The sequence below is a fragment of the Homo sapiens genome, chromosome 5 (assembly GCF_000001405.40).
Source record: "Homo sapiens chromosome 5, GRCh38.p14 Primary Assembly".
NCBI lineage: Eukaryota > Metazoa > Chordata > Mammalia > Primates > Hominidae > Homo > Homo sapiens.
This window is the reverse complement of record NC_000005.10, coordinates 137,021,044-137,048,897: the sequence shown is the minus strand read 5'-3', so window position 1 is coordinate 137,048,897 and position 27,854 is coordinate 137,021,044. Positions and strand designations below refer to the sequence as shown.

The 27,854-nt window shown below is 41.5% G+C and overlaps 1 protein-coding gene across 1 annotated transcript in view, besides 1 other annotated feature; it reads left to right on the top strand.

Annotated features, from left to right (window-relative positions):
• Positions 1-27,854, top strand: part of SPOCK1 (SPARC (osteonectin), cwcv and kazal like domains proteoglycan 1) — a 524,029-nt gene that overhangs the window by 450,429 nt on the left and 45,746 nt on the right. The window lies entirely within an intron of this gene.
• Positions 11,625-12,487: an enhancer, noted in NCBI's record as "OCT4-NANOG hESC enhancer chr5:136372100-136372962 (GRCh37/hg19 assembly coordinates)". NCBI's record gives its function as "activates a minimal SCP1, AML or CMV promoter by ChIP-STARR-seq in naive and primed H9 embryonic stem cells {active_cell/tissue: H9 hESC(naive and primed)}" and the evidence as "EXISTENCE:reporter gene assay evidence [ECO:0000049][PMID:30033119]".

The window sequence follows — 27,854 nt, the reverse complement described above, 5'->3', positions numbered from 1 at the left end:
ATAAGTGAAGGAGAAATAAAATACTTTATAGACAAGCAAATGCTGAGAGATTTTGTCACCACCAGGCCTGCCCTAAAAGAGCTCCTGAAGGAAGCGCTAAACATGGAAAGGAACAACCGATACCAGCCGCTGCAAAATCATGCCAAAATGTAAAGACCATCGAGACTAGGAAGAAACTGCATCAACTAACGAGCAAAATCACCAGCTAACATCATAATGACAGGATCAAATTCACACATAACAATATTAACTTTAAATATAAATGGACTAAATTCTGCAATTAAAAGACACAGACTGGCAAGTTGGATAAAGAGTCAAGACCCATCAGTGTGCTGTATTCAGGAAACCCATCTCACGTGCAGAGACACACATAGGCTCAAAATAAAAGGATGGAGGAAGATCTACCAAGCAAATGGAAAACAAAAAAAGGCAGGGGTTGCAATCCTAGTCTCTGATAAAACAGACTTTAAACCAACAAAGATCAAAAGAGACAAAGAAGGCCATTACATAATGGTAAAGGGATCAATTCAACAAGAGGAGCTAACTATCCTAAATATTTATGCACCCAATACAGGAGCAGCCAGATTCATAAAGCAAGTCCTGAGTGACCTACAAAGAGACTTAGACTCCCACACATTAATAATGGGAGACTTTAACACCCCACTGTCAACATTAGACAGATCCATGAGACAGAAAGTCAACAAGGATACCCAGGAATTGAACTCAGCTCTGCACCAAGCGGACCTAATAGACATCTACAGAACTCTCCACCCCAAATCAACAGAATATACATTTTTTTCAGCACCACACCACACCTATTCCAAAATTGACCACATAGTTGGAAGTAAAGCTCTCCTCAGCAAATGTAAAAGAACAGAAATTATAACAAACTATCTCTCAGACCACAGTGCAATCAAACTAGAACTCAGGATTAAGAATCTCACTCAAAGCTGCTCAACTACATGGAAACTGAACAACCTGCTCCTGAATGACTACTGGGTACATAACAAAATGAAGGCAGAAATAAAGATGTTCTTTGAAACCAACGAGAACAAAGACACCACATACCAGAATCTCTGGGACGCATTCAAAGCAGTGTGTAGAGGGAAATTTATAGCACTAAATGCCTACAAGAGAAAGCAGGAAAGATCCAAAATTGACACCCTAACATCACAATTAAAAGAACTAGAAAAGCAAGAGCAAACACATTCAAAAGCTAGCAGAAGGCAAGAAATAACTAAAATCAGAGCAGAACTGAAGGAAATAGAGACACAAAAAACCCTTCAAAAAATCAATGAATCCAGGAGCTGGTTTTTTGAAAGGATCAACAAAATTGATAGACCGCTAGCAAGACTAATAAAGAAAAAAAGAGAGAAGAATCAAATAGACACAATAAAAAATGATAAAGGGGATATCACCACCGATCCCACAGAAATACAAACTACCATCAGAGAATACTACAAACACCTCTACGCAAATAAACTAGAAAATCTAGAAGAAATGGATAAATTCCTCAACACATACACTCTCCCAAGACTAAACCAGGAAGAAGTTGAATCTCTGAATAGACCAATAACAGGCTCTGAAATTGTGGCAATAATCAATAGTTTACCAACCAAAAAGAGTCCAGGACCAGATGGATTCACAGCCGAATTCTACCAGAGGTACAAGGAGGAACTGGTACCATTCCTTCTGAAACTATTCCAATCAATAGAAAAAGAGGGAATCCTCCCTAACTCATTTTATGAGGCCAGCATCATTCTGATACCAAAGCCAGGCAGAGACACAACCAAAAAAGGGAATTTTAGACCAATATCCTTGATGAACATTGATGCAAAAATCCTCAATAAAATACTGGCAAACCGAATCCAGCAGCACATCAAAAAGCTTATCCACCATGATCAAGTGGGCTTCATCCCTGGGATGCAAGGCTGGTTCAATATATGCAAATCAATAAATGTAATCCAGCATATAAACAGAGCCAAAGACAAAAACCACATGATTATCTCAATAGATGCAGAAAAAGCCTTTGACAAAATTCAACAACGCTTCATGCTAAAAACTGTCAATAAATTAGGTATTGATGGGACGTATTTCAAAATAATAAGAGCTATCTATGACAAACCCACAGCCAATATCATACTGAATGGGCAAAAACTGGAAGCATTCCCTTTGAAAACTGGCACAAGACAGGGATGCCCTCTCTCACCACTCCTATTCAACATAGTGTTGGAAGTTCTGGCCAGGGCAATCAGGCAGGAGAAGGAAATAAAGGGTATTCAATTAGGAAAAGAGGAAGTCAAATTGTCCCTGTTTGCAGACGACATGATTGTTTATCTAGAAAACCCCATTGTCTCAGCCCAAAATCTCCTTAAGCTGATAAGCAACTTCAGCAAAGTCTCAGGATACAAAACCAATGTACAAAAATCACAAGCATTCTTATACACCAATAACAGGAGAGCCAAATCATGAGTGAACTCCCATTCACAATTGCTTCAAAGAGAATAAAATACTTAGGAATCCAACTTACAAGGGATGTGAAGGACCTCTTCAAGGAGAACTACAAACCACTGCTCAAGGAAATAAAAGAGGACACAAACAAATGGAAGAACATTCCATGCTCATGGGTAGGAAGAATCAATATCGTGAAAATGGCCATACTGCCCAACGTAATTTACAGATTCAATGCCATCCCCATCAAGCTACCAATGACTTTCTTCACAGAATTGGAAAAAACTACTTTAAAGTTCATATGGAACCAAAAAAGAGCCCGCATCGCCAAGTCAATCCTAAGCCAAAAGAACAAAGCTGGAGGCATCACACTACCTGACTTCAAACTATACTACAAGGCTACAGTAACCAAAACAGCATGGTACTGGTACCAAAACAGAGATATAGATCAATGGAACAGAACAGAGCCCTCAGAAATAATGCCGCATATCTACAACTATCTGATCTTTGACAAACCTGAGAAAAACAAGCAATGGGGAAAGGATTCCCTATTTAATAAATGGTGCTGGGAAAACTGGCTAGCCATATGTAGAAAGCTGAAACTGGATCCCTTCCTTACACCTTATACAAAAATCAATTCAAGATGGATTAAAGATTTAAACGTTAGACCTAAAACCATAAAAACCCTAGAAGAAAACCTAGGCATTACCATTCAGGACATAGGCGTGGGCAAGGACTTCATGTCCAAAACACCAAAAGCAATGGCAACGAAAGCCAAAATTGACAAATGGGATCTAATTAAACTAAAGAGCTTCTGCACAGCAAAAGAAACTACCATCAGAGTGAACAGGCAACCTACAACATGGGAGAAAATTTTCGCAACCTACTCATCTGACAAAGGGCTAATATCCAGAATCTACAATGAACTCAAACAAATTTACAAGAAAAAAACAAACAACCCCATCAAAAAGTGGGCGAAGGACATGAACAGACACTTCTCAAAAGAAGACATTTATGCAGCCAAAAAACACATGAAAAAATGCTCATCATCACTGGCCATCAGAGAAATGCAAATCAAAACCACTATGAGATATCATCTCACACCAGTTAGAATGGCAATCATTAAAAAGTCAGGAAACAACAGGTGCTGGAGAGGATGTGGAGAAATAGGAACACTTTTACACTGTTGGTGGGACTGTAAACTAGTTCAACCATTGTGGAAGTCAGTGTGGCGATTCCTCAGGGATCTAGAACTAGAAATACCATTTGACCCAGCCATCCCATTACTGGGTATATACCTAAAAGATTATAAATCATGCTGCTATAAAGACACATGCACACGTATGTTTATTGCGGCATTATTCACAATAGCAAAGACTTGGAACCAACCCAAATGTCCAACAATGATAGACTGGATTAAGAAAATGTGGCACATATACACCATGGAATACTATGCAGCCATAAAAAATGATGAGTTCATGTCCTTTGTAGGGACATGGATGAAATTGGAAACCATCATTCTCAGTAAACTATCGCAAGAACAAAAAACCAAACACCGCATATTCTCACTCATAGGCGGGAATTGAACAATGAGATCACATGGACACAGGAAGGGGAATATCACACTCTGGGGACTGTGGTGGGGTCGGGGGAGGGGGGAGGGATAGCATTGGGAGATATACCTAATGCTAGATGACGAGTTAGTGGGCGCAGCGCACCAGCATGGCACATGTATACATATGTAACTAACCTGCACAATGTGCACATGTACCCTAAAACTTAAAGTATAATAATAAAAAAAAAAGAAATAGTCATTTATTTATGTCTCACTGTTGCTAAACACTCTGTACCTTATGTATGTTTCCATGTAATAGTCCTGAAAGCCCAGTGTTGGGAGGGACTATGATCTCCATCTTAAATACAAAAAAATACGCCTTTTAAAATTCAAATTCTTCCATCTGGCAAATGGCAGAGCCAAGATTTGAACTCAGATTATTCTTACTCTTCCACCTGGGCGTTTAAGTACTTCATTCTATTTTCTATATGTATGTTACATTTCTTTTGTGTGTGTGTCTTAATGCTTTGGTTAAAACTTTCACGATAAAGTGAATAATACTTTGCTAAGAAGTCCCTGCTATGGTAATTTCCGATGTTGCTGGGGCATAAATGGGAATCAAGGCTGTGAAGGCCTTTGCACACACCATCCTTCTAAGATTGGTCTGGTGAACTCCTGATGCGTCACTTAGAGACAACTCTCCTCACTTTCTTGGCTTGATCAATTCTTGGTCATTCTTTATGCTTAGAACACTGTGTTCCCCTTCTGTTCAGCAACTGGTGTCCAATAAAGCTCTACTATATCCCAAAGTCATTAATTTAATGTTAATTTTTTCACATAAACTCTTTATTTTAGAAAATTTTTAGATTTATAGAAATATTGCAAAGATAGTAGAGAGTTCCCAGATACCCTGCACCCATGTTTCTCTATTATTGTCTTACATTGGCATGGTACATTTGTCACAATTAACAAATATCAATACATTATAATCAGCTAAAGTCCATGTTTTAATTCATATTTCCTTAGCTTTTACCTAATTTCGTTTTTCTGTTCCAGGATCTCATCCAGGATACCACATTGCATTTAGTCATCAGGTCTTCTTAGGCTTTGCTAACATTTTCCTCATTTTGGATGACCTTGAAAGTTCTGAGTACTGGTCAGGTATTTTCTAAAATGTCCCTCAATTAGGATTTGTTCCATGTTGGTCTAATGATTAGAGTAGGGTTATGAGTTTTGGGGAAGAACCCCCAAGATCCACAGAGGAATCAGCACAAGTGTCATTGTCATCCTATGAAGTCATAATTACATGCTTATCTATATGACTTATCACCATTGATGCAAACCTTGATCACCTGGCTGAGGTAGTGTTTGTCAGGCTTCTCTACTGCAAAGGTACTCATTTTACCCCATTTCTACACCATACTCTTTGGAAGAAGTTACTACGCATAGCCTACACTTAAAGAGTAGGTATTTAATGTTCCATCTCCTTATGTAGATGCTTCAGGGTAGAGTGTCTACATAAATTATTTGAAATATTTTACATGAGAGATTTATCTCTTTTACCCCATTTATTTGTTTCTTAAAGCATGTATTAATATTTATATAATGTGGACTCATGGATATATATTTTGTGCTTGAGGTTATAATCCAATACTAACTATTAATCCAATACTAAGATTTTACATTTCAAATTGTTCCAGCTTTGGTCATTTGGCACTCCTTCTGTTGGTCTTGTGTCCCTTTGACATACCCCCACTGTGGTGTATTTTATTTACCTACTCTTGAACACTTCTGTAATTTCTGGCAGAAATAAAATATCCAGGCTCATCTTGTGTATTTAGTATCCCAGCCATAGAATCAGCAACTTCCACAAACAGACCTGGTTCTTTTTATTGTAGAATGGAATTAGAAACCAAGATCCTAGCACTCATTGTGCTCACTACTTCGGGAATGTTGTTGTTCTGCACTCTCATTTGACAGCAAGGGAATATATATGTGTATACTAATCCATATGTGTGTGTGCATGTGTGTGTATATAAATGTATGTACATACATTTATAAATTATTCTATATGTATCTATATTAAGCTAAATACAAGTTTATGCTAATGTATCCAACTCATTACCATGTCGTTATAGCTTCCTCCCCTTGCTTATCTGTAATTCTCCACTCCAACAGTAGGAAACTTGGCTCCCACCATCCACTATCCATTTACTTAATTCTTTAATCCCAGTATCAAAATTATTAGCCTCTATTTCCATGGGAAACAACTTTATCAACTAGAGTAGAGTGCTTATGTATAGGCTGTTTGCTTATAATCTCCACTCATTTCCAAAACTACACAGGTCAGCACCTTTATAATACATTCAGATTACTGTGTCACATTCTGCATTACATCCTAGGATCCCCTGGCCTCCTAAATGATTTTTTAAAAATTTGCATACATTAAGGTTCACTCTACGCTGTAAAGTTCTGTAGGTTCTCACTAATTCCTAATGTCATGTATCTGCCCTTATTGTATCATAACAAATAGTTTTATTACTCTAAAAATATTCTCTGTGCTTCATCTTTTCAACTACTCCTTTTTCCCTACCTCAAAACCCTGGGAACCACTGATCTGTTTACCTGCTCTACAGTTTTGCCTTTTCCAGAATGTCATATAAATGGAACTGTGCATTACATAGCCTTTTTATGCTGGCTTCTTTCACTTGACAATATTCATTTAAGATTCATCTAGGTCTTTTTGTAGTTTGATAGCTCATTTATTTTTTTATCACTGAATAGTAGTCCATTGTATGGATGTTTCATAGTTTGTTTATCCATTCACATATTGAAGGGCATCTTGGTTGCTTCCAGTTTTGGTGTTTATGAATAAAGGTGATATAAACATTTGAGTTCAACTTTTTGTGTTACCATAATTTTTCAAATCAGTTGGGTAAATACTTAGGAGTGCTGTTACTAACTTGTTTATAAGATATTTAGTTTTATAAGAAATGGAAAAACTGTCTTGCAAAGTGACTGCAGCATTTTGCATTTCCAGCAGCAATAAATGAAAGTTTCTGTTGCTTTGCATGATTGCCAGCAATTGGTATTGTGAGTTGTTTTGGATTTTAGACACTATAATAGGTACATGGTGATATGGTATTATTGTTTGAATTTGTATTTCCCTATGAAAAATGATGTTCATAAGCTTTTCATATGGTTATTTTCTATCACATATGGCAAAGTGTTTGTTCCCATGTTTTGTACACTTTTAAAGTTGGGTTGTTTATGTTCTTGTTGAATTTTAAGAGCGTTTGTATTTTGGATACAAGTCTTTTATCAGCTATGTGTTTTGCAAATATTTTTATTGAGGTTGTGGCTTGCTTTTTGGTTCTCTTAACAGTGTCATTCACAGAGTATAAGTTTTTAATTTTAATAAAGTCCAACTTATCTATTTTTTCTTTTATAGGTTGTGATTTTGGTTCAGCACCAAACTCAAGATCACATAGATTTTTTTCCCCATGTTTTCTTCTAGATGTTTTATAGTTTAGTAATTTACAGTTAGACCTATCATCCATTTTGAGTTAATTTTTCTGTAAGGTAGAAGGTCTCTGACTAGGTTCATTCTTTTGCATTTGAATATCTAATTATTCCAGCACAGTTTATTGAAATGACTATCCTTTCCTTGCTTTTGTGCCTTTAAAAAAAATCAGTTGGCTATATCTCATTCCTCTCTTCTGTTCCATTAATCTGTTTATTTTTTTTCCACCACAACCATGCTGCCTTTATTATTGTAACCTTATAGTAAGTCGTGAAATCTAGTAATATGAGACTTCATACTTTGTTTCTCTTCTTCAGTATTACAATGCTCTTTTTAAAAAAATGTAATTAAAAATTTTTTTAAAGAAATATGTATGGTTCCTAGCCTTTTTGCCTGATACATGTACATTGTCTGGGCAATCTAGTGCTGGCCAAGTACACAGTAGGCCCTCCTTTATCACTTGCTGACTGCTTAGAAGGACAGTAGGAACAATTTCCTTGGCCAGTGAGTTCAGCAGATGGTTGGGCATGACCATCTTGATGAGCCATTATGCCTCATCATCTCTCATGGGGTGACAGACACTTATGGTTCCCAAAAGAAAACTGATTCCTAGTGCTGATGATTAATACAGAGAGATGTGAAATTGATTGTTTTTAACAACAACAACAAAAAAGTTTTAGGATGAACTGGATCTCATAGTTGAATGGGAATTAGAACATCAAACATACCATACAGAAACAAAAGAAGCAGTTTAAGCAACAGATTTAGCTAAGGCTTCAGCTGGTGCAGAAACTTCTCTGGTCACTTCTATGGTCTGTCATATGGCAAATTGGGTATTGCTAAACGTCTCAGGCAGTATTTGTCCCTTATGTATTTTGTGGGCCTGTATTTACAGTGTTTTTCCACCTGTCTTCCCTTGCTCCCAGATATGTTTGGAGATTGTCTCCAGCACTTATCTCTTCTCTGCAAGGCCTATGCATGCTTTGTGATGAATTTGTAGCCACAGTGCAGTGCTTGGGCGAAAAGACATATGCCCAGTGTGGATTGGCAGCAGATGGTGCTCATCAGAATGCATTGAACAGTAATCCAAGCCCTCATGAAGTGCTAGCTTGCTGTTAACACCATCCTTCCCACCTCTTCGGATTGCTGGGTGGGCCCACTTCAGCTGGAAACTAATTCATACTGATGGTCCTTTTGCTCCAGGCTCAGAGCCCAGTCTCTGCGGGCATCACCACCTAGTGGGCACTGGGAAGCTGCTGGACACAGCCAGAGCAGGGAAGCAAGTGCAGGAGGAACAACAAAGGCCTAAGTGAAAATCTGGCTGTGCATGACAGCTCCGCATTAACCTTCAGAGAAGCTCTCCTGGGAGGTAACCTTGGCAGACTCCAGCCAGCAGCCGGTTCTGTTATTATTCAAAGTATAGGAGCAATGAATGGGTTGCCTGCAGGGATATTTGGTCATAACCTAACCTTAGGAAAGCTACCATGGAGGGAAGCTGTTGTTCAGGTGAAGAGCCAGGCACCTGTATACCTGTGAATACCCAGCATTGCTCTGGGTGCATAGAAGGTTCCCTTTGATGGGGCTGCTCTGTTCTTCTCTTTCAGGACCTGCCCAATGTGGTGGCTTAGTAGAAGCTAATAACAGCTTTGGGTTTATAGGCTAAATCATACACAGGGCTCTGATGCCAGGGCTACTCCTCCCTCTAGGCCATCATTAGCAAAGCCTTTCCTACTGATGGTGTGGGCCCTGCCCATGGGGGCGTGGGACCTGTTGCATGGATGATCTGGTTTGTAGGAGAGCCAGAGAGGTGGCAGGTAGCAGGTGAGGTAGCTTGTAATCTGAATTTGCATCTTCCAACTTGAGTCTTCTGCAAAGGTCAGCATACAGGGTGGAATAATACTGAGGAAAAGTAGTAACTGAAATTCAAGTACTCAATGGATCATTAGCATGAACATGGGCATTGAGGTCCTCAAGGATCAAGATCCATAATTTATTTTGTCTACACGTCTCAAGTTCACCTCTGTTCTCCTAGGGCTCCGGGTATAGGCAGAATGTCCCCGTTGCAACAACAAAAAAAAAAAAAAAAAAAAAAAAAAAAGTGTGGCAGGCAGAAAGGCAGAGTGATAAAGTCTTTCTAGATTCAGCATCTACTAGTTAAATCACTTTTAACAAATCCTTTACCTGTTGAATTCATGCCTTCATTGGAAGAATGGAAATAAGAATAACAATACCTCCTCGTGGAGTTGTTTTGAGGTTTTAATGAAATGATCAAAATAAAGCACTTGGAATGGGATCCAGCTTATAATAAGTGACATTATTACCACCACCACGATCATCATCATCTACACTGTTATTAGCAATAGGAAGGTCTGTGTAACAACATTCTTTCCACCCTCTGTCATCAGCTCTCTGCATTAAATAAAAGTCAGAGAACCGTTTTTGTTTCCTACTATATGCCGGACATATAGTAGGACATACTGATGAATACAGACATGCATACGCAGTTTCTGCTCTCATAGAGCTTATACCTTCTAGGGGTGAAACTTGATAAATTTATTAAATTTCATTAATAAATATAAAAATAAGCAATGCAATTTGTGATTATTAATTGCTTAGAAAACCAAGTAATGGCATCCATCTGATTTCAAACAGCCCTGACCCATAAGTTCTTTCCTTGGCTCATGTCATTGTCAATCTGTGACACAAAAAATATATTTCTATAAAAAGTAATGAGAGCCAGAGAGGACAGGAAAGTAAATTAAAGCCACTGCAAAGCTCCTCACCAATTTTTTGTTGTTGTTCTGGCATTAAGTAGTTATTCCCTTTGCCCTTCCCTGCCTTCTTCCTTTTCTCTCTTAAATCCCTCCATTCCATACCTCTCTTCTTCACTTTCAAACCACTCAGTCAGTTGAAACCTTGGCACTTAAAATATTTCTACAGGAGGAAGAGGAAAGGGGCAGAAGATGTCTACTGGGATCTTCATCCCTTCCCAGGCCTGGTTCTGGGCATTGTCAGGTACCTGCTCCTTACCTGCCAGATACCAGCATCCTGTATGCAGGGAAGCTTCACTGGGGTGAAGGGGTAGAGGGAGTGCTCAGAGGTCTGGTTTCCCCTAAGACAGAGTAATTTGACATCCAGTAAGGTCTTTCATGAGTCTCAGACTTTGGTGACAAAAGCATGGATCTACATAGCTTCTTAAACTGTCTTGCCCTCTATGTCAGCAGAGGAGAGGAATCATTCAGTGGCATTTCTTTCTTCAATCCATGAGGCTTTTGCTTCATGTTCCCCCACAACAGACTTACGGGAGAGACAGCTCCACCCTCAGGCAAGGGCATACATCTCAACCCCTCTTGCAGTTAGGTAGAAAGGTCTGTTGTTGTTCCCTAATACCTAGTTTCCCAAAGGGATTTTTCTATTCTATGACAAATCTGATATGGCCTCTGCCACCAACTCCCATTTATGTGATCATTAAAGTATGTAAATGCAGCTACTGGCTGCATTCCACCCACGTGAATGAGACCAGCACCCCTGGGTCACCTCTCCCTGCTCAGCTGTGCCACAGCCTCAAACATCAGGGGTAAGCAACTGGAGTTTCTGAAACTTCATTTCTAGGTCTGTTATTCCCAACGCGTATTTATGTATCAGGAAACTTTTTTTTAGGTTAGCGACTCCCATGAGTTCAAGGAATACAGCTCACCCCAGAGAAATCTGCAAGTGAGGCTAAGGGAGTATATGTATGCTGATCTTGCTCCTCCCTGATCTTAGTTGGAGAGGACAGTGGTGATTATACACTTTCTTATCCTAAACCACTTAGATGTTAGGCATTTATTATAGCAGCTGCTGTTACCTTAACAAAATACAAAATGAATTCAAACAGTGTTTGTTGAGCACCTGCTATGAGACAAGTGTTCTGGAAATTTGGGAGCCTAACAAGGTGGACTACAGAGGAAGGTTTGCTCTCATGGAGCTAGAATTGCAGGGCAGCACTTAATCCATCTATCTAGTATGTGTGGTACACATGTGTTCTGTCCATCATAGGCTAGGCACAGGGGATGAGGGCTACATTGTTATGTGCCTCCATTTCCCAGTACCTATTCCCGTCTAGTAAGATCTCTGTCTAGCATCTAGTAAGTGCTTGAAAATATTGTTGACGATACCATGACTTGGATCAGAGGCATCTCCTTCTGGTTCTTGGGGAGGCATGGGCTCCTGTCTTTCTTCCTAAGTAGGGGAGAAGGGTGCCTTGGATTCAGGTATACAGAATATGCCATCTGAAATTAGCTTTATTTTTCATTGTCTCATAGAAAAAGGAGCTTAAGCTCTAATTGCCACTATCGGAGCGAGAGCACCTGCTGGTTCTAGCACTGCCTACATTAGCGTGCAGCCACTCTCTCTCTCTCCCAGGGCTGCCGGGCTGGTAATCTGAGAGGGAAATGACTTCTGGTTGGGGGGTGAATGGGACTCATTGTTGCTAACTGCTCACCGTGTCTATCACTGTCTCACCTTTCCTTCTGAGGAGAGAAATCAATAGCACTTTAAATGTCTTGCTAAGTAAGTGTTTATGAAGCAGGTTCCCAAGGGCTTAGCCTGGGGGCAGTGCTCAGGGCAGCAGGAACTGCCTGGAGCAGGAAAAGCCTCAGAGGTGGAGGGGCCTCCCTCCCATCACATTCCGGCCTTACCGTCCTGTAAAATGACTGCCTCAGTGCCTGGGCTCTTTGAACTGGAAATTAGTCGGCATGCTTGTGAGGGTCTGAGAGAATGGCAATCACTCATTCATTCATTGATTTACTCATTTATTCCATGACACAAATTCTGAGCCCTGTGTTCAGTGCTGGACATGCCATCCCTGCCCTCAGCTTCCTGTTTGCAGGGCAGATAAACAAACAGGTTGATAGTTTTATATTGTACAACAAGAAGGAAGGAAAGTAGAGAGAGCTTAGGGAGGAGGACACAGGAGCAGATGGGATCATCAGAGAGGGCTTCCTGGATGGAAGAGAAGTCTTCATATGTCTTGCCATTGACTATTCCTTACCTGCAAACCTTCTCCAAGAGCTGCTGATTGTTAAAGAAAAAAAAAAATGGGCAAGGCAGAGAAATCCAGAACTATGTGATCAACCTCCCTGCTCAGAGTTACTAGATGGATAAGGGTTAATTAGAAAAATAATTAATATTTGCCAGAGCTGGTACCCAGCAGGTATTAGCTTCTTTCCTCTTCAAGAAAACAGATGCACTACCCTTTAACCCACCATCCTTGAGTGTTGCTTAGTCCTTTTTTGCTGTCAGGGACATATGATTTCCTATGCAAGCCCAGCTCTCTCCTGCCTCCCCTGCAGTTGTTCTGAGGACACCTCCCCTTTTCTGCTAGTCTCCCTCTCCTCACTCTCATCCTTGTGGGGAGCTCCATGAGGGCAGCTCCATCTCTGCCTCAATCCCTGGTTAATCCCCAGCATGGAGCACTGGGCTGACACATAGAAGGAGTCTGAACAGAGAGACAATGCAACCCTGCTCCTATCTTGGCATTGGTCTCTCCTTTCCCCACTGCCTTTGTTCAGCTTAGCTAAGAGAGAAGGCAAGTTGAGTAGTCTCCTGGGCACCGTGGGGTGAGGACTTGCTAGCAGACACATGCTCCCCACCACAGCTCCAGCTTGGGTTAGGCACAGTCCCAGCAAAGGCTGGCTATGATTCATTCTTGTGACAAGGGGGAGGGCATGAGCACACAGTGACCTCAGGATCATGCTTCTTCTCCAAGGAGTCTCAGACTGGAAGCCCCACCCTGAGGGATGGTCTGGCAGACAGGCCATCCTTGAAGGGCAGCAGCCAGCAGCCCCAGGTGAGCATTCCCCCTGGTTATAGCTTGCATCTCCTCCTCTCCCTTCCTAATTCACCCTCTTCCAGCTTTGCCGTCCTTCTTTCCATCTACCCTTCCTTTGGAAAAATAGCCACCTTGCAGAGAGGTACAGTGTCTGTGCCTTTGCCTTGCAAATCGGAGTCTCTGCCCAGAAATGGCTTCCTGAAAGCAGTGAAGACCCTGTATCTTCCCCAGGGGTTCTGTGATTCAGACTGACAGCTGCCATCCGCTGGGGGAGCCGCAGGGGCTGACAGCCACCACTCCGGTCCTGATACGGCTGGCTGTGCTCCTTGGCTGCCTGCTTTCTCCCTCTCCTCCTTCAGGCAGAGGGAGAGAAAAAAGAAGCAGCACAGACACCTGTAGAAATAGCACTAATTTGGCCTGATTTAAATTCAGGTGCTAACTTGTGGCAGTCCTGTGAATGTCAGGCTCAGGGCCTGAGGAGTTGCTTGTGGCCTCACTCACAGGGAAGGCATGCATCTGATGGAAGAACTCAGCCACAGCCAACCCCAGCAGTAGAACCCACTCTGGAGGTAGCCAATGCCCCCTCCCACCCCCACCAAGGCTGGGCAGGCCTACACCTGGACCCCTCTGGGCCGCCCGCATGTGCCCTTTTGTGTTCTCCAATTTTCCTCCTAGACACGCTTTGTCAGTTGGAAAATGCAGCTGCTGTAATCCGTGCCACTGTCCACACCAGCCTGGCCCCAGTGCCACATCCTAGTGCCCTTTCTCAACTGTGGATCTGTCATCACCACATGGCTCCTGTTTGGACTGAATATTTCCTTAACCACAGCCTCATAGTTCACTCTGGAACTCCGCACACCTAGGTTTCATTCCTAGTTCTGCTACCTCCTAGCCTCAGGATGGACAAATCATTTAACCTCTCTGAGACAACCCGAGTTTTCTGTGCTATAAAACAGGCTTATTGATAATGCTGAGCCCATGGAGTGTGACAAAGCCAGGAGATGATGTCTGTGAAATATTTTATATAGGGCTTGGAATACAGTGAGTGCACCGTCATGCCATCTGCCATCATCACAGCAATGGGTGCAAGGGGTTCTCACCACCAACAGCTGCCTGTAGGGATTTACAGCTCTGCCTCGGAGAATGCCATCCCTTGGCTCACTGTAGGGGTATTATGAGGAGCTGCATGAGGTCATCTTGGTGAAGTGTCTCCAGCAACTTTGGCACCTGGTAGGACCCCACCAATAAGTGGGTGGAGATTTCCCCTCGGCACTGTACATGGTACTCGCACAGCATTCTTCACTCTCTGTTGAAAAGCTTGGTTTCATTTGTCTCTCTCCCTAGGTCAAGGGCTCCTTGAGGGCAGGGACTTACTGCATGGTAGACCCTGAGCAGCCTGTCCTCCAGGGCAGGAGAGAATGCAGCACATGGCTATTGGAGTCCAAGTCATTCACCTGCTGGTTATTTGACAGGGACTTCCTGAGTGCCTACTCGAGGTCAGCCACTGTGCTACAAGGTAGAGTGTAATGGTAAAAAAGAAAAGGGTTCTGCTCTCATGGAGCTTACAGTTTAGTGGGAGACATGGACTGTGATGATACTATTATAAAACACAGTGTGTGATTAGGAATATGCTAAGTGTGTTAGGAGTAGCCCTGGTGGGGAGCAGTGGCTCATGCCTGTAATCTCAGCACTTTGGGAGGCCAAGCAAGAGGATCACTTGAAGCCAGGAGTTCAAGACCAGCCTGGGCAACAAAGTGAGACCCTCATCTCTACAAAAAATAAAAAATAAATGAAAATTAATAACAACATAGAGAAGCCCTGAAGAACAAGTACAAGGTACCATGAAAGAGAAGAGTGGTTGAAGTTGACCTCATTTGGGTGGGAGCAGGGAAGAAGGGCTTCCATTAGGAAATGACACCTGATCTGAGGCTGGAAGGATTTGTAAGTGTGAATGAGGTGAGGGAGAGGGGTAGACAGAGCTACCAGTGGGGAGACCCCTTCATGCATTTGAGTGGCTTTCAGATAGCGTGCAAGGTGAGTCCCGGGGACAAGGGAAGGATGGCATGAACATGCAGGAAGAGCAGTGAGGAAACAGCCCTGCATTTCCTTGGGGGCTGGGCTTCACAGACGTGGGGCATTTCAATAGAAAGGAAAAAAGGAATAGGGGTTTGGTAGGGAGGCAGGCTTGTCAGCAAATGCAAAGGCATGCAAATTCGAAGGCACGTAGCATGTTCAGAGACCATTGTCCTCTCCTGTGGAGTTCAGCCCTTACTGACATTGTGGCTCCATAGCATCCAGGCTTCCATGCTTCCCACACTGCAGGCTGCAGCACACCGGGACTCCAGTCTCCTCTTGCAGATCGCCAGCTGCTCCACCCTCACCCAGGCCTTCGGCCGCCACGAGGGAGTTCATCTCCCCTGACCCCCACTGGGCTCTCATTCAGCTGCATCATAGCCGAGCTGAGCTCACTTCCTGACCCTGAAGCAGCCCTGCCAAGTCCAGACCTAGACCTGCCTCTCTGCCCATCCCCAGCCATTTAGCGGGCCCACTTCTTCCTGATTTAGCTGCACTGAGGCTGTGAGGGCCGAGTTCTTGTGCATCTCTTCTTCTCAGGAACAGGAACAGAAGAATCCCTTTACACCTGGTGAACCACCTTCCTTTTTCCTGTTGCCCCCTCCTTCTCTGCCTGTTCCATCCTCAGCCTTCAAGTCCATTAGGGTCTCTCCTGTCTTGAACACCTCGTTACCACCATGCTTCTGAGTTCATCGTGAAGAACATACCGACTGCCTCCCTTTTCTCATCACCTGCCCCCACCACAGCAACCCTGATGGCTAAATCCTCAGCTACTTTCTCTCCATAGATTTTGGGGATGTTGACCACCTCCTTCCTTCCGCAAACTCTTCTCCTTTTGCCTTAGCTGATTGCTGGGCTTCCTCACCCTTGGTTTTCTCGTGAGTACCGTCATTTTCCACATTGCAGGAGCCCACACTTCTATTCACTTACGCTACCTCGTGCCTTTTTCTGGCACCATCATCTCTCAGCTTCCCCGCTGCACTGCCTGCTCACAAGCTTTCTTGCCTGTTCTTTTCTCCTTCCCACTCCCCTGTTCCCCAGCCCCAAATTAATCTTTTAAAAGATTAATGGAATAGTCATTCTTCCCTTTTGGTATAACCAGGCTCATTCTCATTGTCCTGTGAAAATGATTAGACTTTTGCCTATGCTGTTCCCAAACCTGAGAATCCTCTTTTCTTTGTCAACTCATGAAGCCACGCTAACCTACTGGGATTCCTCCTCTGGGATGAGACATGTTTATCTGTTTGTTTGTGGGGAGGATCTTTCTCATTGGTACTCCCAGTGAGTCAGCAAACGTGTACTGAGCTCCTGACATGTAGCTTGCTGTTCAGAAGTTTCTAGTGAGTTTGAGGAGATGGACAGATGTAGAGAATGCCAAAAAAGAAATGGCATTCCTGGCTGGGGAATATGTATATATTATATATTTATTTTTATTATATATTATATATATATGGGGAATATATATATATTTCTTTTTATTATATATTATGTATATGCGTGTGTGTATATATACACACACATGCATATATATAATATACACACACATATGTATGTATGTGTGTGTATGTATCTATATTGTAAACTCCTCTTTGATAGTTCACCCACAAGCTAGAACTGTATGTACACCATACATTTGTTAATCATTCTTGCCACTGTCATTTTCGCCACCCACTTAATTCTTGATTATGATAAAAAGAGTTTTTCTGAGATAAAGCTTAGGCTTTGAGGACTTGGTATTAATTCCCTGGATGGTGTCTACCGTTAAAAAACAGGGTCTGATAATTCCTGTTAGTTGCACAGTGCAGGCTGTGAGTGTTTTGTATTTGTTAGAAGGAATGTGTTAAAATGGAATATCTTTGAAACAAGACCCAAAACATGGCCCATCTTGCTGTAGTTATGCCACGTATAATTTACAAGGAAGAATGTGCTTTCATAATTCTGGGGGAAAACACTTACAAAACTCATCCTTACTGTACATATTATAATTTTTAAAACTCTTTGGGAAGAATTAGAATTACAAACATATAGTAGCTGCTAGGTTTTCCCATTGGGGGATATTTACATCTAGAGAAATGGCATAATTACATTTGCTGTTTTTGAAGTCCACTGGATTATGTTAACTCAGAGAAATTCAACATGAGAGCCGGTGAATTTTGGAAATTGACACTGGTTCAGGGCAGACCTAACTTTAGTTTAATGGAAAGAATTCTGCCTTTGAAATGAAATGAGGGACCTGGGTGTGAGGTGGTATTTAATAAGTAGAAAGCATCGGATGTATTGTTTCTTCTCTTTCCAAGTCAGGGATAATGTGGGGAATAAAAAGAGTTAGGAAATGGTACAGAGTCCCACGCAAATTTGAGTGGTTATTGTTAGTTTTATTTGTGAGACTTAAATGCTATTTAAAAAAATTACAAAATATGTATTATTGAACATGTGGGAAATATTAATTATTTTAATGTAGAGAAAAGAAAAATACAGAAACTATGGCTTTTTAAAACAAAACAGGAATGATTTTATAGGTAGTGCCTTGGAACCTACTTTTCTGACTTTAAGATATATCACAAACTCCCCTCGAATCAGTTTTTTGAGGAATTGATTTTAAAGGGCTGCATAGCATTCTGTCATAGGATGTGTTTAACTAGTTGCCAGGTTTAAGTTGACTTTTTTTTGCTATTCAAAATATTTTGTTAGCATTATTACAGATAGGCGTTTGTCCACATCTTTGATAGGATAAATGGCTAAAATGAAATTACACATCAAAAGTATAGATAACTTTAGGTGTTTTAATCCATCCATGCTACCAACATATCTGCCCAAAAGTGCCCTACCAACTCATACTCCCATGGTCTGGTCATTTGCCAACATCTTTTCTAATCCTGAGTTGTTAGTTAAAAAGACACAGAATTTTTTAAGTGTTTCTTAGTTGCTAGACCTCCCCCCAGAATTGATTCCTATTTTAATTTGTATTGCTTTGATTACTTGTGAGGTTGAACATTTTTTCTTTTTTGTTTGGCAAGCTGCAGTCCTTCCTTTGTAAATTGCCATTTGCGTCCTTTGTACTTAGAGGCCTTGTTTAATACCTCTGCTCTTGCATCGAATTGCCATGGCGTAGTCACTAATGGTTCATTAAGCTGTGTTATGTCCTCCTGGATCAGACCTTTAAACCGCTCATTTGTCCAAAAATAAATGTTTGTTGGATAAATGCTAAATGAATCATAAAGCAGTAACTTGGATGGCCGTAGGGCCAAGAGCTAATGGCTGTTATCCCCAGGAGTGGCAGGACATTACTTCATCCATCACTCTACCCGGTATATATTTTTAAGTGTGCCAGGCTGTGTATTAGGCTTTAGTTCCTGCTCTCAAGAATGCTGGTCTAAAGAAGAGTTTATAATACAGTGTGTGAACTCATGAAAGGAAATCCTTTTGAACAGTAGTCCAAGAGGGGACATTTTTGACCCACAGAAAGTGCTCATGCTTTCATGAAATAGCAGAAGCCTCCCAGCCCACATGATTTCTAAGGCATGTGTCTCTTTTCTCCTTGCATGCTTCCTTGGGGAGGCAAATTTGAGCAACAAACAGATGATCAAATCCAGTTTGTAGTAAACAAAACGGAACCTCCTCTAGTACCCTTTCTTCTTCATATTATTGTTAAATACAGAAGGGATCTCACTATGTTACCCAGGCTGGTCATGAACTCTTGGCCTTAAACTATCCTTCTGCCTCAGCCCCACAAAGGGCTGGGATTATAGGCATGAGCCACCATACCTAGCCCTCTAGTACCCTTTCTGTAGAAGCTAATAAATTTGGTTTCCTCTTGGCTTTTGCCATGACCCTAGCATGATCTCTGGCTTCCTTGCCAAACCAAGTTTGATAATCACTGTTGGAGTTGCACGTGTGAGGACTTTAAGGCCAAGCCGACCCAGGGCCTAATCCCAGCTCTTCCACTAAAAAGTCTTGGGTGCCTTACTTAACTTCTCTAGGTCTCAGTTCCCTATTATTTAAAATGGATAAATAAATTGCCGCACAAGGGTTTTTGTAAGGATCAGTCAAGATGATTATTTAAATTATTGTTATTAACCAAGTCATATAAGTTTATCATTAAGGAAGTCTAGCTGGTTATGACAAAAGATTGTAGAAGGTGGCCTTTTCTTTGACATATTTATTATAGCCTGGATCTGTCTGGATCTTAGTTTTACAGATCTGAAACTTGATTTTAGTTTTACATTGAGAGTGGCTCAGTCTCTCAGGGATGAGGTCACATGAAGCAAGTTCTCAAAAGACTGTTCTATAAACCAAAACCAAGATAGCTTATCAAGTCTGGACAGTTGTTAAATAGATGGAGACCAAAATACTCACATCCTGGGCCAGTTTTACTCTCTGGGTATGGCTCTCTGAGAGCCAGATTATAATTCGTGCTTGTTAGGTGAGCTGGGAATTAGAGCAAGGGGACTCAGTTGACCATAAGCAGGCAGCCCCCCACCACCACCCTGGCTAAAATAGCTTGATGACCTTGGCTGCTTTTAGGTTTAGTCTTGCTCACATGACCATCCATGGACTGAGGTCCCAGCCCCTTGGGAGAGGTCTTCAAAGGGTGCTTCCAGTGCTTGCCTCTCAAGCTCTCATTTTCTTCTTGGTTCTATAATGACCACTTTTTTCTTTTTTCCTATTTGACACATTGTCTGGATGTGTCAATGTCTTGAAACTGGCTTAGTTCCCACCAAGCCTCACTCTCATTCTGGGGTCGAGTCTCGGGGAGAGATTTCACATGTGTTCACTTGCCCATTGGTTCTGTCATTCACTTCTCTGAGGCAGTCTCATTTCCAGAGAGTCCTAGAGTAGGTAGGTAGGAGGTTTGGACCTCACTGATCTCTCTACCCCAGGACCCATCTGTAAACTTCCTACCTTAAGCAGTGATCTGGAATATGAAGCCCACCCCCAGGGATAACATCCCCAACAACACATACATTCTCTCTCAGTGTCTCTGGGATGCTGGCAGCAAGCTCAAGGAACTCCTGCTGCTCCAAGAGGCCACTGAACATATTGGTAAACATGCTCAAAGCCACTGGCCCTGTGTTGCTGTGCTGGATAATACCTTTTTCCAGTGAACCTTCTCTGCCAGATCCTGTATTCTGTCATTTAGAGTCTGCAAGTGGTAGTCCTATGAATTACATTTCCTCTGGGACACAGCATTTTGCCCAGTAAGAGCCTGGCTGAGGTGACTTTTCTACTCTGTTTCATGTGGCCAGAGAGCATGTGTCCTCATACTGTAATTTCTACTCCTTCAGCCCTTCACCTGTGTCCCTGGGGAAGCAGCTTGCCTCCCACAGAGGAGATTCACCACTCTGACAGCTGGATGCTTTGGTGTGTCAGAGTCACCTGACTTAAAGAGTGGAGCACAAGAGGTGTGGGTACCCCAAGGTGGAAAATGCCCTCCCTCTTAGTTATACCAGTTTGGAGGGGGGATGGGAGAGGTTGGCTTCCTGAAATCTGAAGGGCACAGCAGTTTGGGGGTGGTAAGTTTATTCTGACCACAGAGCCTCATAGACACTCACTCTCCCTGCTGCCCACCTTATGGTTCACCCCGTGGTTCTCATCAGTTCCTTGCCCAGCAGGCTTTTCAGCAGTGCAGCTACAAGGTCTCTACTGAGATTTGGCTTCCTGCCTGCTTTTGTGCAAGAGAGAATGAGGGGTGCAAAAGGGGTGGTGTGTATGGGGGCAGGAGGATGGACTACAGCCATACTGACTGCTGATAAGCTCTGCAAGGGGGTTGATGGAAGAAGCCTCCCCATGCCTGGAGAGACCTACTCTGTTAAAACACCCTTTTACCACACCCTTCAGTTAGTCTGTATCTGCTACTAGCTACATATGGATATTGAGTGTTTATGGCTATTAAAATGAATTAAAATTAAATAAAACTAAAAGCTCAATTCCTTGGTCACACTAGCCGCATTTCAAGTACTCAATAGCCCACACATGATTAATGGCTGCCACATCAGACACTATGATATAGGGCATTTCTATCATCACCAAAGTTATATTGGATAGCACTGCTCTGGGACAGGGCAGGGGATTACTGGCTCTACAAAAGAAGCCACTTTGGGATTCCATTAACACTAGATTTTTATAAGCATTGAATTCATATAAAACTGACCTAACAGCTTATGATGGCTATATTATTTGTATAAATTGGGGCCTACTTTTCTCTGAAGGCACTATCTGTGTGTCATCTCTCCTTCCCCCTAACAAAAAATCAAGTTCAAAACATGGAAAGAGCTTGAGAAAGTCTCAGGCCTGTGAAGCAGGGTCCCAGAACTCTCAGTCTCTCACAGGAATTCTTGCCACTGTCACCTGGTCCTTTAGGTGATGTTTGTCCTCTAGGTATTTTGACCCAAGTTCCTGATTTAGTCATCAGCAGTGGAGTTTTTCAGAAAATAAAACAATCATAAAAATACATGAGTTTAATTATTTTAGAATGAAGATTTTATTCATTCATTTAAAGGATATTTACTGAATGACTACTCTGTGCCAGGATTCAGGTGAATCAGAGCCTAGATTCACCAGCACCTGACACAGGGCCTGGAACATAATAGATATTCAATAAATATTTATCAAACGAATGAATAAATTACTCACCCTAGAACAAGTCCACCAAGCCATCCAGCCTGCTGTTCCTTTTTGTTTCCTGTGAATGTTGTGGAGGTCCTTGGCCCAGCAACTCAGACCAGCACCTGGGAGGCAGCTTTGGATTGACTGTGCTCCAGGCTTGGTTGGATTCTTCTGGATATTGAAGCCGGTTCTGTATTTTAATGTGGTTGTGTTAGTGTTCTCCAGAGAAACAGAACCAATAGAGGGTGTGTGTGTGGACAGAAAAAGGGAGAGGGAGAGGGAGAGGGAAATTGTATTGAAGGAATTGGCTGATGCAGTTATAGCAGCTGGAAAGTCCAACATCTGCAGGGTGAGCTGGCAGGCTGGAGACCCAGGGAAGAATTGATGCTGCACTTCAAGCCCAAAGACAATCTGCTGGCAGAATTCCCCCTCTTTTTCAGGGGAGGTCAGTCTTTTAAAGCCTTCGAGTAATTGGATGAGGCCCAGTGACATTATGGAGAGTCATCTGCTTTACTCAGTCTACTGACTTAAATGTTAATCTCATCTACAAAAATACCTTCAGAGAAACATCTAGAATAATGTTTGACTTACCATCTGGATACTGTGGCCTAGCCACATTGACACATAAAATTAACTGCTCTGGTATTCTTGTTTTACCTACCCTTGGTGGTGATGAGTTGCAACTGAAGGAGACCCATTTCCTGACCACACTGAGCCAATGTTTTTATTTGTCTGGTTCTTTCTCTAGCCTGGTCCTCCTCCATCCCTATGGAGAGCTAGATGACCTCAGGTATATAGAATCTCGCCTCTTGCAGGCATGTTTCTCTGTATGCCTTCCTTCTATTTAATGATAGTTTTCATCATTCCTCAAAGCCAGCCTCCTCACTTGTTTGTATGAGTCCTTAAGCCCAATTTTCCTTCGCAATGTATTCCTGAGTGGGGTTAATACCTCCCTAGCTGCCTTGACTAGTTTCTTCTCCTTCCTGCAGCTAGAAGGAGGCTCATGATGGACTGGAAATATCACAGGTTTGGACTCAGATTTAGATTTTAACCTCGGTTTTATTGCTGGCTGACCTCTCAGAATCTCACCTATCTCATCTGTAAAATGGTATGCTAGTTTATTTCATGGTACCCTTTGTATCACTTTTCATTCAGTTTTAGATTTTTCTCCTGATCTCTTTGTCCTTCCTTGTTTTGTTTTGCTTTTAGAAACAGGTTCTGCTGTGTTAGCTAGATCAAGTGATCCTCCCACCTCAACCACTTCAGCTCCCCGGTACCTAGGACTACAGGCATGAGCCACTACACCCAGCTGCTTCTTTGTTTTTGAGGACAGGAATTATGTTTTATTTACCATTGTGTAAATAGAATAGCTAGAATACAGTGGATGCTCATGAAATATCTGTCTATTAAATGTTAAATGAATTTATTAGAAGGGAGTGATATGGGCAGAGGTAATGTATGTAGCAGGTGCTTCAAGTGTAGGATTATTTCCCACTGTTGCTGGCTTGCTGTTAATGTCCCATTTCCAGGACTTATCTCACCTGTGATGCTGCCAGTCTTTTTTGAAAAAATTTCATTGTGCTCTGGCAGCATCACAGGTGAGATAAGGCCTGGAAAAGGGATCTACCTTAACATGAGGTCTACCTTCTTTTTAAGTATTCAATACATTATCGTTGACTATAATTACAATGTTGTACAATGGATCTCCAGTGCTTATTCATCTTAACTTAATTGAAACTTCATGCCCTTTGATTAGTAATGCCCCATTTTCTCTTCCCCCTGGCAACTGCTGTTCCACTCTTTGATGATATCCATTTGACTGACAGTTTTTGATACCTCATATAAGTGGAATCATGCAGTATGTATCCTTCTGTGACTGGTTTACATCCCTTCGCATAATGTCCTCAAGATTCATCCACATTGCTGCATTATGAGTTTTCCTTCTTTTTAAGGCTGAATAATAATCCATTATATGTACATACCACATTTTATTTTTCCATTCATCTCTTCATGGGCATTTAGGTTATTTCCACATCTTGGATCTTGTGAACAGTGCTGCAGTGAACATGGGAGTGTTGTCTCTTTGAGATCCTGATTTCTGTTCCTTTGGATAAATACCCAGAAGTGGAATTGCTGGAGCATATAGTGGATGCCTCCAGTCTTAACTACATGGTAGAGATGACTGACATATCATGAGATCAGTGGATATTCAATTTTTTTTATTTTCCCCTTCTAGCTTTGTGGTTCTTCTACTTTTTTTTTTTTTTTACATGTCAGATGGCTCCCTTCCTAGTAATTGCTCTATACAGCAGGAAATTATTTTTAATGATTGAGATGTTCAAATGTTAGAGCCACAGAGGGGTAGATAGCAGTAAGCAGGTCATTTTCTCCCATGTTCTGCATTATTACTTTAAATATTTCAATAGGTCAAAGGTTGGTGCTCCTTTTATTCTGAAAACCTGGTGAGATGTTAATTAATCACAGCAAAGTTTAAGGATCCCAGCTTTACATCAGTGTTGTATTTAACAAAACATGAGCAGTCAGTTGTAACTACCCCCCCCCCTTCAAACTGGTGCAATTTAGTGCTTATGGAATTTATCTGTCTGGCAGATCAGCAGCCGAACATAATTTTAATTACACCCGTCACCCTCGGCCGCACTCTCTCATTCTGTGCTAACCTTATCAGAGTAGCAGTACCTGTGCTGCTGGGTTTGCTGTTCAAAAGCCAAAGTTTTCTTCTGTGTCATTTAAGGAACTGCCTAGCACTAGAATTTCAGAGAGAAGCTACCTTATTAATATAAAGTAACTTAACAGGAAGTACAAGCTTCTAGGTTGCATGCCTAAGAAGATCTTCTGCAGACTTCCTGAAATAGCAAAGGATGCAAGTGTTAAAGTTAGCAAAAAAAAAAAAAAAAAATACTATATTGACACTTGCTAATTAGATCCAATTTCACCATGTAGTCTGCTATGGTTATGTGAATTTTACTACCTTTATTTGCATTGTGCTATAGAAGCAGTTCTTGCTAATGATACTCAATGTCTTTGGTGGGAGCAGTCTTTTGAAAGAGACAAATCAGCTTGGTTCTCCTTCATTTCTGTGAGAGCATAAAGGAAGGGACAGAGGAAGAAAATCACTTAGGCTGACAAAGAATTGGCATTTCCTCTCGTGATAATTAGGGTATCGAACATGTCTGGGCATCGCATTGCAGATGAAATGATGCCTTCCTCATGGCACCTTCTGTCCATCGGTAGCACAATTTGATTCTCATTTCCTCATCTATTCTTCTAGCCCCAGTCTGGTATATAAGTCACACTTTTCATGTCACTTTTCTCGGAGCATGTTTTATGTGTTTCAGATTTTAGAAGTACAGCAATAGTTAGCCTATCACACCCTGCCTTCAAATCTGTCCCTAGTGCCTGTCAAGCAATGGCTACCAGAATGTGTCTTCAAGATGTCACTGTAGGGGTACCCAATCCCCTAGTCAAAACCCAGTCCCTACTCTCTACTGGGGAGCTGGTTGGAAGTGAAGCCAGCCCTTCTGTTTCTATTGAGGTCTATTTTTCACATTACCAAAATAAGTCACTTTATCCAACTTAGTGAACAAGTGCTCTCAATGCTTACTAAGAAATTTACTATATATCAAAGTTCTAAGAACTATATATGTTAATTCATTTATTTGAATCCTCTTAAAAGCCCTGTAAGATAGATAGTATTCTTAGTCCCATTCTTAAGATGAAGACATTGAGGCAAAGAAAGCATACAAGTTGTCCCAGGTAACAAAGACAGCAAGAAGCAGAGCCAGGATCCAAACTCAGGCAGTCAGCTCCAGCATTTATGCCTGTATCCACTACACTGTGCTGCCTCTCTTATTTGCTAGGCTTTGCTGCCTGGGAATCAGAACCAAGATTAAGGAATAGGAAAGAAAGAGCAAACTCAGAGAAAAGTGAAACTAACTGGTCCCTCGTGTGAGCTGCAGACACAATTGATGTGTTCTCAGCCAATGAGCAGTGGAGAATTCTATCTATGGCCCATATAGGAATGGAAGAGGTCTGGAAGAGAACGCTGGCCACCCAAATACCAGCCCTAACAACAGTAATACTAATGTCAATAGCTGCCCTTTGTTGTTTACTGTATATGATCTGACTTTCATGCAATATATCCTATGCTTAAAAAACCTTGAGACATGTAAATTGATATAAATCGACACTTTTTTTCGCTTAGGGAAATTGAAGCTCACAGAGCTTAACCAGGCACGCAGCTACTTAGTAGCAGGGCTTCATTGTACATCCTGGGCGTCTTGCATGAGTGTAATATTCTATATCCTCTTTCCTCTACTTGCCTTAAAGGAGCTTAAAATCATAGTTTGTTTCAGTTATTTCTTGCCCTGTAACAAACTGCCCCGATCTTGGTGACAAGATAATAACAAATTACTGATCGTCAGTATCTATGGTGGTTCTTCAGGTCAACTGGGGTGGTTTGCACTTGGGGTCTCTTATGTGGTTGCAGGCAGATAGTGCCTGGGACTGGAGTCGTATTAAAAGCATTCTTCCATGTTTGGCATTGAAACTGGCTGTCAGCTAGTACATGAATTGGGGCTGTTGGCTGGAACACCCACTTGTGGTCTCTTGGGCTTCCTCAGAACTTGGCAGCTAGATTCCCAGGGCAAGTGTCCAGAGACAGGCAGAGCTAGCAATGTGGTATGGAAGGGAGAAGGTGGGGTTGAGGGGAAGCTCTGTCACCTTTAATGACCTAGGCTGGCAAGTCATCATGCATCAGTCCTTCCATACTCTGTAGGTCGGTCACAAAGCTCTGTCCAAGTAAAAGGAGGGGACAGAGAGATGCCATCTCTCTAAGCAAGTGTGCCAAGGTCGCATTATAAAGAAGAGCATATTTTGAAAATATAAACTGCCACAGTTTTTTTCCAAAAATTTGTTTTCTTTTAGAGCTAAAACTTCTGCATCAAGCAAACATTTTTGTCAGCATAGATCTTTCTCTTTAAACTCATTATTGATATCATCTCTTTTCTCAGTGAAACATATGGGTATTAAAAAAATCAACTGCATCTTGAGCAGTACCAATCAATGGAAAATATTGTCATCTTCTTCCCAAGCAAAGCATAATTTAGAGTAGTTCCAAGGATGTTGAACAACCAGAATAATTTGTAGAATAACTGCATTCCATTTTGGAGTTTTCTAGTTCGCAGAAAGATGTTCTCTCATGGCTGCCAGATTATTGTGAATACAGTTAGGCTCAGAACTACCTTAATGAAACACAGCTAGTATATTCATTTTTAATTTGTTAGAATTTTATTTAATATAAAATAGGTAATTTTTTAAATCTATGAAATGTGTGTAAGGGATAAACGGTAACAATACAAAGAAAGAACACCAGTAACTTTATTATTGCCATTAATTTCCAAGTTACCTTGTGTCACCTCCTAACCCCATCCTCTCTCCTCCTTATTTCGTGCTAACTATCATATTGACTTCTGTGTTTATTGCTACATTAATTTTCTTTATAGTTTGGCACATATTTGCATCCCTTAATGATATTTTGTTCAGTTTTGCTTGCTTTAGAATATTTTTGTAGATGGAATCATATCGTATTCTTCACTCAATGCTGCATTCCCAAAATTTATCTATGCTGCTGCATGTAGCTAAATTTCAATCACATTTGCTGTTATGTAGCATTCAACATTGTAAACAAGAACATATACTTTTGATGGGCATTTCTTTTTTCCAGTTTTCCCTATCATAAACAATGCTGATATTAACATTCTTACACTTCTCTGGGTGTATGTGTACAAATGATTTTATGCAGGGCATATACCTAG